The sequence below is a fragment of the Homo sapiens genome, chromosome 8 (assembly GCF_000001405.40).
Source record: "Homo sapiens chromosome 8, GRCh38.p14 Primary Assembly".
NCBI classification, from domain to species: Eukaryota; Metazoa; Chordata; class Mammalia; order Primates; family Hominidae; genus Homo; species Homo sapiens.
Window position 1 is genome coordinate 58,305,280 of NC_000008.11, and position 19,393 is coordinate 58,324,672.

The following is a 19,393-nucleotide window of genomic DNA, read 5'->3' on the forward strand; positions in this document are numbered from 1 at the left end:
ACACATACTGTAAAGAGAATTCCCTTTCATTTTAAGTATACGTGCCAATAATACAATAAAACCAAACGTCAATTACAAACTCAGAAAACCAAACTCTAAGATTCAGAATGTATATTTTTCTGGAAGAAGATAATTTACTATCACTGATCTCAGGATATATAGCAAAAATATAAATACATCATTTTTCATAGAAGAAATAAGGGAAATAATCTAGAGGCTTCTTTCTATTAAAAAGCACCAGGCACAGGTGTTTTCATAGGGGAATTCTGCAAACTCTCCAGGTAATTCTAATGTGATTTTAAACTGTTCCTGCATATAACATAAAGAAGACCTTCCCAATTGTTCTAAGCAAAATGTTTTCTTAAATCTTGATACCCATAAAAACCACACTAGAAAATAAATCTAGAGATCAATCTCACTTATAAATGTTCATGAAAAAGACCTTATAAAATATATTTAACAAACAGAATCCATGCTTACAAGTAAAAGAATATTGCATCTGATTAAGTGGGGTTTATGCTACTAATACAAGGATTATTTTCATTAAGAATAAACTTGGGCCAGGCACGGTGGCTCACTCTTATAATCCCAGCACTTTGGGAGGCTGAGGCAGGAGGATCACTTGAGGCCAAGAGTTTGAGACCAACCTGGCCAACATGGTGAAATCCTGTCTCTACTAAAAACACAAAAATTAGCCAGGCATGGTGGCACACACTTGTAACCTCAGCTACTTGGGAGGCTGAGATGGGAGTATTGTGGGAGAATCAGGAGGTGAAAGTTGCAGTGAGCAGAAATCATGACACTGCGCTCCAGCCTGGGCAACAGGGTGAGACCATGTCTCAAAAAAAAGAATAAACTCAATAGATGCAGGCTGTAAAAACATTTTATTAAATTTAACATCCAAAAAATATTTGATATCCTTTTTTAAAAAAAATTGGAACAAGGGTTTTTTTAATATCTAATATAAATAGGTATTTACTTAAAATAGATATATGTATGTGTATACACACCCACACATGCACATCTATGAATAGTGAATACATTTTCCTTAAATTCAGAAACATGACTAGGATGTCTACTCCTGCCACTATTATTTAACAAGCTGGTAAGTACCAGCCAAAGCAATCAAAAAAGAAAGCAATTAATATGTATAACAACTGGAAAAGAGTAAATAAAATAATCATTATTCATAGGTGATATAACTGTATAGCTAGAAAATACTTGAGAATAACTTAAAAATTATTGCAAATAATAAAAAAGTTTAGTAAGATGACAGCGTACAAAATTAGTACATGGAAATAAACAGCTATCATATATAAAAACAACAACAAGAGAATCTAACAGAAGAAGGGATCCAACACAACAGGGATAGGGATATGCTTAACAAGAATTGTTCAAAATCTATATGACAGTATTCTGAAACACAACTAAAAGAAGAAAGAAAAGAACTGAATGAATGAAAAACTTACCATGAGTTTGAATAGGAGAAACTCAACTAAAATTACTAATGGGCTACAGGCCCCATGCAAGTCTGAAATCCAGTGGGGCAGTCAAATCTTAAAGCTCCAAAATGATCTCCTTTGACTCCATGCCTCACATCCAGGTTACGCTGATGCAAGAGGTGGGTTCCCATGGTCTTGGGCAGCTACACCTCTGTGGCTTTGCAGAGTATAGCCTCCTTCCTGGCAGCCTTTGCAAGCTGGCATCAAGTGCCTGTGACTTTTCTAGGTACACGGCATAAGCTGTCAGTGGATCTACCATCCTGGAGTCTGGAGATGGTGGCCCTCTTCTCACAGCTCCACTAGGCAGTGCTCCAGTAGGGATTCTGTGTGGGGGCTCCCAACACACATTTTCCTTCTACACTGCCCTAGCAGAGGTTCTCCATGAGGGCCCTACCCCTGTGGCAAACTTCTGCCTGGACATCCAGGTGTTTCCATACAACTTCTGAAATCTAGGCAGTGGTTCCTACACCCCAATTCTTGAGTTCTGTGCACTTGCAGGCTTAACACCATGTGAAAGCTGCCAAGGCTTGGGGTTTGCACCCTCTGAAGCCATGGTCCAAGCTCTATGCCGGCCCCTTTCAGCCATGACTGAAGGGGCTGGGATGCTGGGCATCAAGTCCCTAGGCTGCACACAGCACAGGGACTCTGGGCCTGGCCTACCAAACCACTTTTTCCTCCTAGGACTCCAGGCCTGTGATGAGAAGGGCTGCTGTGAAGACCTCTGACATGCCCTGGAAACACTTTTCCCATTGTCTCAGGGATTAACATTTGGCTCCTCATTACTTTTGCAAATTTCTGCAGCCAGCTTGAATTTCTCCTCAGAAAATGGGATTTTTTTTCTATCACATTGTCCGGCTGCAAATTTTTCTAACTTTTATGCTCTGCTTCCCTTATAAAACTGAATGCCTTTTACAGCACCCAAGTCAACTCTTGAATGCTTTGCTGCTTAGAAATTTCTTCCACTAGATACCCTAAATCATCTCTCTCAAGTTCAAAGTTCCACAAATCTCTAGGGCAGGGGCAAAATGCCACCAGTCTCTTTGCTAAAACATAACAAGTGTTACCTTTGCTCCAGTTCCCAACAAGTTCCTCTTCTCCATCTGAGACCACCTCAGCCTGAACCTTATTGTTCATATCACTATCAGCATTTTTGTCAAAGCGATTCAACAAGTCTCTAGGGAGTTCCAAACTTTTCCACATTTTCCTGTATTCTTGTGAGTCCTCCAAACTGTTCCAACCTCTTCCTGTTACCCAGTTCCAAAGTCACTTCCACATTTTCAGGTATCTTTTCAGCAATGCCCCACTCCTGGTACCAATTTACTGTATTGGTCCATTTTCATGCTGCTCATAAAGACATGCCCAAGACTGGGCAATTTACAAAAGAAAGAGGTTTATTGGACTTACAGTTCAATGGCTGGGGAGGTCTCACAATCATGGCAGAAGGCAAGAAGGAGCAAGTCACATCTTACGTGGATGTCAGCAGGCAAAAAGAGAGCTTGTGGAGAGAAACTCCCATTTTTAAAACCATCAGATCTCATGAGACCTATTCGCTATCATGAGAACAGCACAGGAAAGAGCCACCCCCATGATTCAATTATCTCCCACCCCCCACAACGTGTGGGAATTATGGGAGCTACAAGATGAGATTTGGGTGGAGACACAGAGCCAAACCATATCAATATCTAACATAACAATTCAGTTTTATAGCAAGAAGAAAAAGCCTAGAAATCCAAAAGAAAAATAAAATTAGATTAATGTTTTTCTTTCAACAGATTGGTAATAACCAAAAGGTTTGTTCATATAGCACTTAGGTAGTAGTATGGGAAACAGGTATTCTCGTAGTCTGCTAGTAGGAGTGGCAATTGATAAAATTTCTATACATACAAATTTGATAATAGCTACTAATTTTTAAAATGTCAATGACCTTTAACTCAGAAATTTTACCTCTGGAAATTTGTCCCTTGGATACATAGTGTATGTATAAGATTATTCAATGAAGAATCATTTGTGATAGGAAAAGACTGAAAATTACCTAACTTTCCAGTAACAGGGGATTATTAAAATAACCTTTATATATTTGTAAAATTGATCACTGCTAACGGCCTAAAAGAATGAGTTGGCTCTATGTATGTTGTAATGGAAAAATCCCCCAAGAAATATTGTTAAGTGAAAGTACAAACACAGATTATTTGTGTAAAGGAAAAGGGATACATTTGTAAATTCTTGTAGCAGCATTGAATATCTCCGAATGCTATAAAAGAAGCTGATAACCACAGATATATCTAGAAATGGGTCCTAGATGGCTGGAAGAAGAGCCTTTCAAGTATGAAATATGCGGGCGGAACTCTCAAGAGTCCTGGAAGAAGATAACTTAAACAACTGGGCTCAGAAGGATTCCCTGATCTCAAGGGCTCTGACAAGTCCTAGGGTCACTAGGGCACCTGGCAACTAGATTTGTTTGTACTTTAAACAAAGTATGAAGGATACTTTGTTTTCACATTGTGAATTTTTCATTTTTGTAAAATTTCATTGTACCTTTATACTGGTACCACCATTATATCGGTGGTAATAACCACAGTTGTTATGGTAGCTTCTTTTGGTTCAACTAACCAGAAAACTGCTGGAAAAAAAAATCACTTAAACTGTGAGAGACAAAATTAAGCCTTCCATGGAATTAATTTTATGCAAATTTATACTTTCTTACTTTTTGAATATAGTTTTTACATTCTCTCACCAAACGCACAAAAATATATTAAGAAAATAAAAACTTTTCTATTTCCAGAATTACTATTAATGTGATGGTATCACCAGTTAATTTAATAAAAACCATTTTAAGAAACTATTCAATATTCAATAACATTTAGTACAGCTAATAGAAACTAACCCACAGCCTAAGTGCCTTTACTTACCACTCACACAGGAAATGTAGCACATCTCTCACAAGCAAGAATTGCAATAAGGAAGAAAGTGGAGAACACGGTTTTAGAAGAGCACACAACCAAAGATTTTGGACCTTGATATATTTAAGTAAATATTCTCAGATGTTTTATTGATCAATTTGAAGCAAATATCTTTTCTTCTATGACCAAAGAAAGCTAATGAGCCTGTTGCACAACATGTAGACTCAATTTATGAAACTTGCAAAGCCATGTCCTCAGTAAATGTTAATCCCCCAAACATGAAACCTGACAGTTGAAAAGATGACACAGAAAGCAAAACAAAACCAAGCATGTGCATTTTTTTAGCAAGAAAAGGATCACAATAACATTCAGTTATTTTCAGCCCTTCCTGCTGAGTCCCGCTGAGCCCTTGCTCAGTGATGGTCCACTAACCATCACTCACAGCTAGACCTTGCTGTTCCCCCTTTGAACATAAACAATGTCACAGAACATCACATCAGACAAGGTCACTCTGTGACCATGACGAAGTGAATCAAAAAACAAGACCACTTCACAATTTTGTCTAAGCATAGATAAAAACAACAAGGTCACTGTGCAAACCACAAAACTGCCAAACACCCTCTTTCCTAATATGAGTGACCACTACTTCTTTACTAATTATGGCTTTGACTCACTCTAGTCTTCCTGCTCTGTTGTTAACATTTAAGATAGTCAGTCATAGAGTTATCCCTGCTTCTGGACAGCTTCCAATCCAGAACAAAGATTCTCTTCTACAAACCTTCCCCAAGTCCCCATCTCTTTCTGAGATGCCACTGTTCTGCCTGATGTGTCATCTTCCCCTTTCACTGAGCAATGAACCCAACTTGCTCAGCTATAGTGTTTCTTAGTGGTCTTTGGCTAGAGAGCCAAAATAATTGTCTACTCCCAAAGACTTCCATTTCTCTCCTTCAACTCTGTCTTAAACCCACCCGCATCAGACTTTCATCCATACTGTGTCACCGAAACTGCTCTTGTCATCATCAGTGACTTCCCAGCTAAATCCAGTGGTCATTTTCCAGTTCTCACGTTACCGGACCCATCAGTAGCATTTGAGACAGATCACAGCTTCCTACTGATAACAGTTCTTCCCTTGCTTCCACAATGCCTGATATTCCTCCTCCCTCACCCGCCACTGTGCATTAATCACCTTTTCTGGATTCTGCCTTGAGGGCTTAGGTCTCCAACTTCTACCTACACTTACTCTTTTTGTGATCTTTAGTCTCATGCTCATAAATATCATTTATGCTGATTCCTTGAAATATATGTGTGTGTATATACACACATATCAATCAGAGTAGAAGTCTGACTGACCTGGAATGAATATACATTCATTCCATATTTATTCCACTGGAATACATTCATTCCAGGTCAGTCAGAGTTCTATCCTGCAACTTGAACTCATATATCCAATTATTTTCTCAACATCTCCAATGTTTAGATGTCCAGTAGGCATCTTACACTTGACATTTCCAAAACAGAGGTTCTGATATTTCTTTCCTTTAAACATGGAGGATACCTGAAATTCTATCCATCTCAGTAAATGGCAGCCCCATGGAAGAAGTTGCTCAGGCCCAAAGCCTTGGAGTCATCTTTGACTCTCCTCTGCACTTACACCCCCATATCACTCTGCACCTATCAAATTAACCTCCCAAAAATACCTGGAATGTACCTGCTTTTATAATCTCAGCTGCCACCTCCCTCATCCAATTTGATATCATTTCTGACCTGGCTTCTTGAATAACTTTCTCCCTTACCTGCTTCTGATCTTGATTCCATTCATTCTGGTTGCCACATACTGGCTGTGTTTAGCATTTTAAAACATAAGTCAGATGTGTTACTTCTCCATATGAACCCATGCAGTGGCTCCCCATCTCACTCAGAGTAAAGCCAAAGCCTATACAAGGATCTACATGATCTGCTACCGACGCACATACAAACCTACCTCCGTGACACTGAGTTATTCAAGGCTCAGACTTGGAAAAATAATCCCATTATTTAAGTGCATTCAGAAGATTAGAACTCAAACACAAAGTTTTAGAACAAAGAAAAGGTTTTTGAATTTAAATCAATGAGCACGGCATATAGGATCTTTTTTATTCTTGTTTTTTTTCATTTAATTTAATTTAAAATTCTGGGATACATGTGCAGGACATGCAGGTTTGTTACATAGGTAAACATATGCCATGGTGGTTTGCTGCATCTATCAACCCATCACCTAGGAATTAAGCCCGACATGCATTAGTTATTTATCCTGATGTTTTCCCTACCCCTGACCCCCTGACAGGCCCTGCTGTGTGTTGTTCCTTTCCTTGTGTCCATGTGTTTTCATGACATATAGGATTTTTTAATCTACATGGCCTGATAAGAGACTAAGTTTGATGAATGACTGCCAGGTACCCTAGTGGCCCTAGGACTTACTTGTGAGTCATTACAACAGAGACTGCTTGGCCCCCAAAAGCCAAAATATGTACTATCTGGCTCTTTACAGGAACAATTTTGCCTGTCCCTCTATTAAATAGTATCTAAGAGCCTATGCAGCTCTAACATTTTATGAGAGAGACATACTTATCAGAGCCCTTGAGATCATGGGATCCTTCTGAGCCCAGTTGTTTAGGTTATCTTCTTCCAGGACTCTGAGAGTTCTACCCTCAACTCTCAGATCCACATCTACCTTTCATCCCACGCACTGTGCCTCACCACAGCTTCCCAGAAAAAAATCAGCAAATCCACACCAGGTTAACTTCTGGGCTTACATATCTCACAGCTGCTTTGCACCAAGGCTTATCCTAGCAATCTTGAAGTAAAATCTGCTAAATGTGGCTATTTCTTTATTCGACAAACAATATATGAGTTAAAGTAACAAGAATGATAATCACAAAATGTTAGAGGTGCATGGGCTCTTAGATATTATCTAATCCAGGGACAGGAAAAATTGTTCCTGTGAAGAGCCAGATAGTACATATTTTGGCTTTTGGGGGCCAAGCAGTCTGTGTTGTAATAACTCACCTCCGCCAGTATAGGGCAAAAGCAGCCACAGAAAATATGCAAACAAATGGATGTGGCTGTGTTCCAATAAAACTTTATTTACAAAAATGTGCATCAAGCTGGATTTGGCCTGTGGGCTATAGTTTACAGACCCCTGGTCTAACCCAAGTCAGTCATCTCATACATGCAGACAAAGTAATTTGACACAAAGAGTAAAGGGTGACTCCTGTTCCAGATGGAACAGGACAGTCTCAGTGTATGTCTATTGTCTCAGTATAATTATTACTCTGTCCCCTTTTACTCTCAAAAGTATCCCAGACTGAATAGTAAACTACATGGTCACCAATTGTAATGTTATGTAATTCAACTTATGTAAATCCCATATTTCTCATGTGTTAACAGCGCCCTAGAAATAATTCAAAATTGAGTACATATATGGCACAGATAACACTATTATTTGAAAAGTGACCAAAGTTTGTTAAGGAGGGCTGCAATATTGCTCAAATTTTTAATAGTCCAATACTAATTCATTTTCTAAAATTCAGTAAGTAATTTTGGATAATGGAACAAAAGATTCAATATATTGTTACATGCTACATAAGTATAATGTAATTTAATTACTCAAGAAAAATATCAAATAGTTTTCTTGTGTACAAACAAGACATCTTTTGAAACACTAATTGCATTAAATATTTGGAAAACTGTGGGCCAAATATGTTCCATGTCATCCTAAGTTATACCATTAGTCTATCCTTTGACACACTCCAAAAGTTTCCTTCTTCCCACTGAACACGCTTTCTTAAAATATTCTGACATGGCTTCAAAGTCAAGTACGACCATAGATAGAGGCATTTTCTAGTCCTGAGTGTCAGAACAAAGCACTCTGGGTCTTAACGGGAAGCAGAGGCTTCATGGGATTGCATTTTTTTCACTGTGCCCCTGACTCTTGCTCCACCCTGGTTTGTGCCTTTAGATTGGCTCTGGAGTCTGAAGACACACAGTAGAGCTGCCCACACACAACACAAGTCACAGTTAACCCAGTGTTTCATCAGCAGCATCTGTGAATGAGTTCACCACAACCTGTTCTCTGGCAGAAGTAAGATAGATTTGGTCCTTACTGATGAAGCATAAGGTTGTAATTGGGACAGTCAATGACAACATGCCTGTGAGCATTGTTTGATGTTTGAGAGGATTTACCATTTTAAATAGCTTTGAAAAGTGTGCTGAGTATGAGATTTATGTTTTTAGAAGAAATTACATTTAGGAAGTAACTTTACTCATAGATGAAATATTTAATTTTCATGATGGAGATATTTGGAATAAGCTTGGGGGATGATTCCAAATTAAAATCATAAAAGTTTATTTCACAGTTTAAAATATATCTAGCACTTTTAGCTTATCCTACTGAACATGGGCCTGAGGCTTACAAATCATTCAGTCATCCTCTGCCCAAAATAAAATCTTATCTTTGGAGACATCTGTGTGAGTGGTTGAAATGCTCAAGGGCATACAATTTTTCATGGCTATTGTTCCCAGTTAAAATAGAAAAGTACAAACAAATTAGCCTTATTTGAGACCTTCAGGTAGGGGCAGATTATGTGCTTTATAATTTATAAAACAGGCTATTTTTCCACACTTTCCATATACCATTCATTTGACTTAGATTCTAAGCTACTTGAGAGCAAAGGCCATATTCTGTTTACAAGTTTCTCAGGAATTCCCTAGTCATGCCAAGAATTCTGGTTGGAATTGACTGCCCAGCTTTTAATAAATTCTTAATTACCACAGGTTTCATCTAAATCATTATCAATGCATACATTAGAATGTGCTAGTAAGTAAATGACCACTTCTCAGTTCTTCCAGGAATTTTCATGGCTGACAAATAGGCCACAGATGAATCGTGAGGCAACTGACTTATGGCACTGAGCATTTCCAGACCACACACCTGTAAGTTAAAGAGATAGAAAAACAGGAAAGGACTAACAGGCCTGCCAAACACAGTCCACACCTTCCAATCTAGTAGATACACCAGGGACTCAACACGCCGCAGCATCCTCCGGTTTACACCATCCCCAATCTTGAAGCGATACTGAAGCTACTCTAAGATTCAAGAGCAATGCTGTCTTTCTTCTCACTACAGTGCCAATCTTGAGTGGGCAGAATTTGCTGAAGGGAAACTCTGAAGGGTAAATCAATGAGATAGGAGTAAGGATGGTATTGAGGTTAAGGAGATGGATGAAGCAGATGAGCATCCACCAAAATCTGTTCTCACCTTTGAGCATGTGGCCAAGATAGTATAGAGAAGACACTCAGCCCTGGCAAAGAAGAGACACAGGCACCGAGATCCCATGGCCTCATACATCTGGTATACTCCCTCCTCCCTTCCCAAGATGACCCAAGTCACATAGCAGAAAGCTGTCCCTTCCTAACATTGCTGATTATGCTAAATTTCTAACCATCAGAGGAAGAGTCTAACCATTTATCTCCTTGACTAATGCCCCTCAAGGTTGCTAAAGCAAGAGTCAAACATCCCTGAACCTGACCATCTTCCAAGGTTACCGAAGCGAGACTCTGGCATTCCCGATAAGAACCGGACCGGATCCAGCCGACTCAAGACAGGATGGACTCCAGCACTGACCTTTCACTGAGTTTTTCTGCATTATAATCCCATTATAATACTAAAAATCACACACAGGGGTGGAGATTAACATGCTATGAGACATGTGACCCATGAAAAGACATGTTATCAAACTGCACAGGTGCTAAAGGTTATCTGCCTCTACAGGCCTGCATGTCGCTCCTTTTCCCACCTCAACTTCCTTAAAATGACCAGAGCCAAGCCCTTCAGGGAGTCAGGACCTCTTTCCCTGACTCGAGCCACAAGCCTATTAAAACTTCCCTGAGAAAAATTTACGTTTAGACTGGTGTTAATTTCTATTTATACAAGAGCCAAGAACTCGGTGGTCCTCCCTGCAGTAATAGCTAAGGTATATTACGCAGCCTCTCTCTCTCAGCTATGTGCGGCCATATGACTAAGTTCTCAACAATTCAATGTGGGAAACTGAGATCTGCTATTTTCTTAGAGCCTGAGCCTTGAGACAGTGCCCTTTCTTTTTCCAGAGGGATTAGTGTGAGCAGAACAGGGAGCCTACCTCCATCTTGGCTAATAGAATTGGGACTTCTACATGTTCACAAGGTATTAGAGAGGAAGCATCCACGCCTTTAAAAAAAATCTAGACAAACTACATTTAACAGTTTATTTGAACACATAATGATTTATGAATTGGGCAACATGCAGAACCAGAAGAGGTTCAGAGACCTCCACTGCAGCGGCAAGGCAGCAAGTTTTAATAGGCTGCATGTCGAAGAAACACACAAAAAACATATTGGATTGGTTAGGATGGAAAGCACCTACTAGAAATTAGTTAGCAGTTTGTGATTGGTAAAGTCTCTAGTTTTGTTTTATGGTCTACATTGGGCTTCAGCTTGCTCACATAGGAACTGAAAGTGCCAGAGCTGCGCCAGCCTAATGGTCTCCCAATTCAAAAATTTTTAATAACCCTCTAAGATCTCATTCTTCCAAATGGAAGGGTAATGATTTATATGATTGGTAAAATTGGGCACAAGATTCCTTCTTCATGCCTGGCCTAGTCCAGTGGCTCTCATTATGGATACTGTCCTACCCTCAAGGTGTACATCACCTTTTTATTAAGTTACCCCTCCTCCTAGCCAATGAATATACCTGGGTCAGGAGTCAGACCCACCTTCTTTGGATAGACCTGGAAGCCATTTCTTTTGGCTTCTGCTTTCCTGGACTTAATGAATACAACTTAGGCTGCCATTTTCAGGGCAGCCCTTTGGGTAAGTGCCCTCACAAATGGCACTCTTCAGACATAACTCTTTTCAGGAACAAGCCTCCAAGTCTAGATTGGAAGGAGAGGAAGTAGTTGAAAGCACTCTTTTGACTTTGGGCCCAAACATAGTCTCTCTTCAACTCACCGGATTTACCATGTTACAATCCTCACCTTACTTTTGGGTGTATTTCTCAATTTGGTTCAGAACGTTAAGGGAAACAGGGATTTAATTGTTTGACACTTGTATATTTCATATAAGAGGGCAATACCATAAAGAAATATTACAAATTTTAACAAATATTTATTTGACTACATCATCTCTGCTTTGAGAAATATGAATTTTGACTCGTTAGGGTACCACGTGGATATAATAATTTTTTGTTGATTGATGATTATTTGACATGATTTATCAACAGTATTAAAAATGTGCTGTGGGTGAGACAGCTATGAGTCCACCAACAATTCATGCTTCCCTTTACCATAGGGTAGAGTGGCTAAGCCAGCCAGAGTCATTTCCTAGCTCCCCTGACATCTCTGCAAGGCCATGTGCATCGTTCTCACTGTGGAATGAGAGTGGATATGAGGAGCATCTTTTCTGTGCCAAGGAGCATAACGAATGTGCCTTCCTCACTCAACCTCTGTTCCTCCTTCCACTGGCCTGAAGCAGATTAGTGTGATAACCCCGGAGGCCATGTCCTGAAGATGGTAGAGCTCAGTACAGCTTAGAGGAGGGCAATTAGCAATACCCACATTGAAATCTGAGTAAGAAACTTTCGCTGTATTTTACCATTATCCATTTTTAGTGTACTTGTTACAGCAGATAGCACACCCTGACTAACAGAAGTGTGTAGTGTTGTAGCCACAATTCTACTTGTAGGCACTGATCCAAGGAAATACAGATACGAAAAAAATTCATGTACATAAATAATACATTACAGTATTATTTATGATCATGAAGCAACTTGGAAACAACCTAAGAGTCATACAAAAGTACTTCATTAAGTAAATATATTTATGATAGAATACTTTTAAGTATTTAAATTTTAATTTTAAATTGAATAATATAGTAATTGTTTGAAAAATAACTCTATCACTTAACAAAGTAGTTGCCACACTTTAGGCACTATTCTAGGCACTTTCATTGGCAATAACCCTGTAATCTACATTTTATGGATAAGAAAACTGACACACAGAAGTAAAGTAACTTAGCTTAGGTCACACAGCCAATAGATAGCAGAGCTAAGAAAAGCACATAAAATAAATAATATGTGAAAATGCCTGTTAGAAATGAAGACTGAAAAGCAGAGAGCAAAATAGATATGCATTCTTATCCCTATTGTTTTGTGTGAGAGAATTGGGTCAACTGGTGGACATTCATGCATTCACTTCCATTCAGAACTATTTACTGAGTGCTTACCACATGCCAGGCATTGCTCCCTGATCAGGAAAATGACTGAAGTCATAGGCTTTACATTCACATAAAGAAAACATAAGAAACAAATAAATATATAATAAAATGTTAGCTTGATAAATTCTTTGAAGAAGTCAAACTGGGTTAAAGGACAGAAGCTGACAGAAGGGGGTGCACTTTAGAAAGGACACCAGGTACTCACGCCGAGGACTCCGCTTCTCCTGTGTAAATTTGCCAACCTGGGGTTTCAGGCCTACCAGGACCTAAGTCTATAAACCACACCATTCAGCCACAGGAGAGGGGTAGCCCTAAAAAAAATGGACTGGATGTCAGAGGTCAGCAGGCACAGGGATGCTGGCAGGGAGACTGTCCCTGCCTTCTCCTCTGGGACTCCTGGCTGCATGGCGTGGCCAGCAAGGAATCCCTACCGCTGTGTGTCCACGGGTGCAGAAGGGAGGTTGGGGTTGGTGGGGAAGAAGGGGAAGAGGGTTAGGGGCCGCCACGTGGTGCGCATGTGATAAGGCCCCTAAGCGCGGCCTGCCCTTCCCCGGAGGAGCCCTGCACTGCGTGTTCCCATTTCCAGAGCAGCAGCGCCATCCTCCGGATGCCTGAGGAAGTGCGATTACCTGCCCGCAGTTTTGTGTGCGAGTGACGGGTGGAGGCCAGTTTGAGTGGAGTCTTCATGACTCAAAGGTGAGGCTGCGAGGAGCCGCCAAGGTCCATGTGGGTCCTGAAGCTGGGTTTGCACAGCATTGTTTTGATGAACACTGGATGTCCACGCACCAGGTGGGGCCCAGGGGCTGTCTCTGCTCCAGAGCCCCATGACTTGCCTCCTCAACTGGATTGTAAGTTTGTTAAAGGTAGGGACTAGTGTGCCCACGTCAGTGGCTTTATAAAATGTTCAATGCACATTCAATAAATAAATGAACAAAGGGTAAAAACAACAATTTATTTAAATATAATAGTTTTAATTATAATTGAATTACTAAAAGATAAAACAAACTTTTGTACATATCAAAAGTGTTTTACGTTTTTTATTGTATCACCTACTCTTAGAGATTGTACTTATGAGATTCTACACGAAAAATGCTATTTATTAGGCATTTCCCAAGCACACAGTCGATGGTAGTTCTTATTATCGTTGTTGTTGTTTTAAAAAAAATTATACTGTGTTGACTCTAAAAAGATTTAAGGAGGTTTACAGAGATTAAAAAACAAGAAAACATAATGTTCCCTGGCTTTTTCTGCCATTTTATTGAAAGATTCAGAATTGTATTGTCACTGCTGGTTGCTCTGTAAAATTAGCAATCCTCAGGAGTTTATCCACTCCAGCAGCATCTTTTAAAGATCTACTATGTGCCAGAGACTTCTCCAGGCTCTGAGGTGCCTGGGTCACATCTAGGTAAGAGGAAAATTGAAAAGTGACTAAATTATAAAGGAAAGCCAGGAACCACTTACCCTAAAGGTCAGGCTGATGGTCCATGTTAAGCGGCTGGCTGGGGAGGAGTACATATACATATACATATACATATACATATACGTATACGTATACGTATACATGTACTCATCATCAATTTTACTGATATGAAGCATTGCAGGACCTCATCTATAATTAGTAATAAAATGAGCAATATTCTTTTTCGTTAATTCCATAGAGCCAATTGATTCTCAGAGAATACTTTAGTTTTGCAGAACTCTTGTATCCATAGCCAACTTGCGGTTGAAACTGAAGCATAATCTGTAAAAGTGAGTTGCTTCCCAACTCACTATTTTCCCAGTGAATTTAATGCCATTAAAAGCAACATGTGATATGAAAAAAAACGAAAGAATCATAAGAGAAGGCCTTTCTTCAGGGGTTGTGTTGGAATGGAGATAAGGAGGCAAGTCCTGCAGAGTTCTGGGCAAGGATTCTGTTCCAGGCAGAGGGAAGTGCAAAACCTTGAGGCAGGATCAAACTTGGAATATTTGAGGAACAGCAGAAAAACCCGAGTTGCTGTAATGAAGTTCATGGAGAGAAGAGAGGGAGGAGGAAGCAGGCCCAGGCCACTCAAGGAAGGAGTCTGGATCTCTTCTGGGTGAGATGAAGTGTTGCCGGCTAGGTTCCCTGGGACAGACAATGAGGTGAAAATGTATGGGCAGGGAGTTTTTGAGACGGGATCTCAGGCATCTATACCTACAGAAGTGTGAAGGAAGCAAGATTTAGCAGAGGAAGAAGTTGAACTGTGACACAGCCTCTCCCTCTGGGAGCTCTGAAGTTAGAACATCCAATTCACTGCAGGCCATATATACTTGCATCGACCATCAATAGGTGTGAGCTGCCATGAAGGAAACCATGGGTGAGACAACTCTCTTCAAGAGAGGCAGGTCCTAAAGAAAGACTTAGCAGAAGACTGTCAACAGTCCTATCATCTGGAAGAATTAGTGCTTCAGCCCCAAAAATGGGTATCTGGAAAAACTGGTGCTTCAGCCCTAAAGACATCTGGTCAGTGCAACAGAGCATCTGCTATGGGAAGTTATTAGGGGGTATTGAGCAAGGAAATGGCATGATTGGAATCATACTTTTAAGGAACACTCTTGTTGCTACACTGAAAATGATTGTTGGGAGTAAGAGCACCAGTAAGGAGACCAACTAGAAAGTGAGTGGCCAATTTAGGCTTCTGACCCTGCACTGTCTAGAAAGTAAGCCAGGAAGCAGTGTGGAGCCTGCTAAATGTCCAAAGCAATTCCTTTGTCATATCAGGGAATCAGAACATCCATTGGAAGATCCTATTTATTATTTCAATATAAGCAAGAATATCTGCAGAAAGTTACAAGAAGCCCAGGAGACATCATCAGTCTCAGATCCAAGAGAGACAATGCCATGACCACTTGCAACAAATACAATAATAATTTGGTCCAGAAAACGGATGATCCTAAAAGGAAGGACCTGCACCATAAAGGTGGCTTTGCTACATCCATTTTAAAAGTAGGGAAATGGTGTGGCTGCTAATTCAAATTGAAATCTTTGGCCCAGGCTGCAAAAAACTTTACTGCAACAAAGTAAAATAGGTATATATGCAAAGTTCTAGTGAAATTTAATGCTAAATCATCTAATATATGAATTCATCAGATCATAGATTTAATTACTAAATATTTTGCCAATTTGGATCTTAAAATATCTCCCCTCGGCCGGGCGTGGTGGCGCACACCTGTAATCCCAGCACTTTGGGAGGCTGAGGTGGGCAGATCACGAGGTCAGGAGATTGAGACCATCCTGGCTAACACGGTGACCCTGTCTCTACTAAAAAATACAAAAACTTAGCTGGGTATGGTGTCAGATGCCTGTAGTCCCAGCTACTCGGGAGGCTGAGGCAGGAGAATGGCATGAACCCAGGAGACGGAGCTTGCAGTGAGCCAAGATTGGGCCACTGTACTCCAACCTGGGCAACAGAGCGAGACTCCGTCTCAAAAAAAAAAAAATCTCCCCTCAAGGAACTGGTTCTGAAACTTTTGTATGCATGGGAACCACTTTGGATGCTTGTTTAAAATGCAAATTCCAAGCTTCAACCCCAAAGACCTGGTGCAGGGTGTGGACCAAACACCCAGGATGACTCTGAGGAAGTTGGGTGATGGACAGTCGTGAGAAGCACCATCTAGGGAACATTCACCAGAAAGCAGAAGGCAGCATGAGCAATCGTATGCAAGTGGAAATAGATCTGTAATTGTTGTTACCATAAACAGCCTCTGTCCAAAAAAGTTGTCACCCTTCAATATGCCTGAGTTTAAAATTTTCCTCAGTCTCAAGGTTCTGTAAACCCAAGTTCATCATGCTAGCTGCAGAAAATAACAGCTGAAAGTGGTTAGCCAAAGGAAGTACCACAGACTAAATCACAGGAAGATGGGTAATCATGTGTACTTACTGCCGCATCTGCTGCAGTGCACAAGAAAGTTTTGGTTTCACACCGAAGAAAGAATAACTTAAAATCCCATAAATAATACATTGAAGAGAGAAAAGTCATTCTAGTGCTGTATCTGGAGAGGCCCTGCAAAGATAAAAGGCTCTGTTCAGTGTTTATCTTGCTGCCAGAGAACAAGGCAAGCAGTGAGGCAGGGTTGTAATTGACCCAAAAGCACATATGAGAAATGAACCAAGGAGAGTGTGCAGTTAAAAGCCTCATATAAAAAGAGAGCTGTAAAGTAAAAGTCCGGCAAATCTGCATTTCAAACGATATGAAAATATGTTTGATCTAGTATACCGATGCACTAAATTTGCATAAAATTCAACCTTTTGTCCTGGTGTGATTGGAAAGGTGCAAAAATTAATTTGAGGTTAAAGCTTTAGCATCCTATCTCTCTTAGACATAAAAAGGACATAATTAACCAGAACAGCTGGTTACAACCTTCATTGGAAACTCTGGGAAGCCAATGTATTCCATTACTGATCCTAGAAGGTAAAATCTACAACAGATATTGATTTGGTAATCCAAGATTCTTATCAATTCTGACCTACATAAAATCTAGTTGTCTTATAGTACCATGTAACTTGTGTCACAGCATCCATTTAATTGAATACTTATGTGAGTAGATGTTTAAAGCTGCCTCTGACTGAAGTTCTATTATCAAACCTGGAAGGAAGGAAGAAAAAGACTGTCATTTCATAATGGCTTGATACAGGAAATTATATTTAGTATAAAAGTTAATTATTAATCATATATAGGAGCCAAGAAATAAAACAGAACAAAAGTTATTACTTTGATATTTATAATGTTTTATAGATTTATCTTGTCAACTGTTTTTTTCTTGGAAAAATACTGTATTTAAGTTTTGTTTTATGCTCACCATCACTGGCCATCAGAGAAATGCAAATCAAAACCACAATGAGATATCATCTCACACCAGTTAGAATGGCAATCATTAAAAAGTCAGGAAACAACAGGTGCTGGAGAGGATGTGGAGAAATAGGAACACTTTTACACTGTTGGTGGGACTGTAAACTAGTTCAACCATTGTGGAAGTCAGTGTGGCGATTCCTCAGGGATCTAGAACTAGAAATACCATTTGACCCAGCCATCCCATTACTGGGTATATACCCAAAGGACTATAAATCATGCTGCTATAAAGACACATGCACACGTATGTTTATTGCGGCATTATTCACAATAGCAAAGACTTGGAACCAAGCCAAATGTCCAACAATGATAGACTGGATTAAGAAAATGTGGCACATATACACCATGGAATACTATGCAGCCATAAAAAATGATGAGTTCATGTCCCTTGTAGGGACATGGATGAAATTGGAAATCATCATTCTCAGTAAACTATCGCAAGAACAAAAAACCAAACACCGCATATTCTCACTCATAGGTGGGAATTGAACAATGAGAACACATGGACACAGGAAGGGGAACATCACAGTCTGGGGACTGTTGGGGGGTGGGGGAGGGGGGAGGGATAGCATTGGGAGATATACCTAATGCTAGATGACGAGTTAGTGGGTGCAGCACACCAGCATGGCACATGTATACATATGTAACTAACCTGCACATTGTGCACATGTACCCTAAAACTTAAAGTGTAATTTTAAAAAAGTGAAAAAAATAAAAAAATAAAAAAATTTTTAAAAAAAAAAGATTTTTTTTTACTCTTTTATTCTGAGCACACTCACAATGAATGGGAGGCAGCCCAAATAAAAAGGTGTCAGGATAAATCATGTTGCAATTTAAAGCTTACTGTATATAATCTGGAATCAGAATGTTAAAGTTAAATATGTAACTTCCACTTCCATCCTCGATAGAGTAACTGGGAGATACACCCTCCCACCAAAATCAACAATAAAACTGGACAAAATATTTAAAGCAATTTTTTTCAGGCATTGAAAAATAGGTATCACAGAACTATGATCCTTGAGAGAAGCAAAACATACAAAATAAACTGCATAACAACCTCAATTTTCTGCCTGCAGGCATATTCCTTCTGCAGCACATGGAGGTGGAGCCCAAGCAAAACACCAGTCTCAATGAACCAACATGAGAACAGAGTTACAGACTGCTGAAGTAGCTGGAATTTGTAGGGCAGGATATTAAATAAGTGACAGCAGCACAGAAGTTTGCTCCATAAATCATCATAAACCTTAAGTCTTTGGCCAAGGGCTGTGCTATGCATCTGCAGGACAAGATTCTAAAACATCTAGCAGAGATTACTGGCTCTGGGGCTGAGACTTGTATGGTGATACCAGAGGCTATAGAGTACTGAGAGATATTGGAGTTCCAGTCCAGTCATAATGGAGAGAGCTGACTAAGCAACAATATCCTTGAGTAAGGGCCATGGGTTAGGACAAAGTTCAAAACAAAAGACTTTCAGGACACAAAGGACTCATCATTAATTTAACTGACTACCAAAACAAAATTCAACACTTTTTAAGAAAAGGTGATGTAATCCAGACCACATGCAACATGTCCACATTGTTCAATATGCAACACAAAGTTACTAGACATACATAAGTAATAATGCATGGCATATAATCGGGGGGAAATTAATAGAAACATTTTATCCTGACCTAGATATGATTATAATTATATTCCAGGACTTAGAGGAAAAGATAGTCATAATAAATGCACAAGTGGTAAAAATTAGCAGAGAAATGGAAAACTATGGGGAAAAAATCAACAGTAAATTGTTAAATTTAAAAATATACCTGAAATTAAAAATTCACGTTAGGTT

At 39.6% G+C, this 19,393-nt stretch overlaps 1 annotated feature.

The window, feature by feature from the left end:
* Positions 16,618 to 16,767: an enhancer, noted in NCBI's record as "active region_27407". NCBI's record gives its function as "activates an Ori minimal core promoter by ATAC-STARR-seq in GM12878 lymphoblastoid cells {active_cell/tissue: GM12878}" and the evidence as "EXISTENCE:reporter gene assay evidence [ECO:0000049][PMID:35858748]".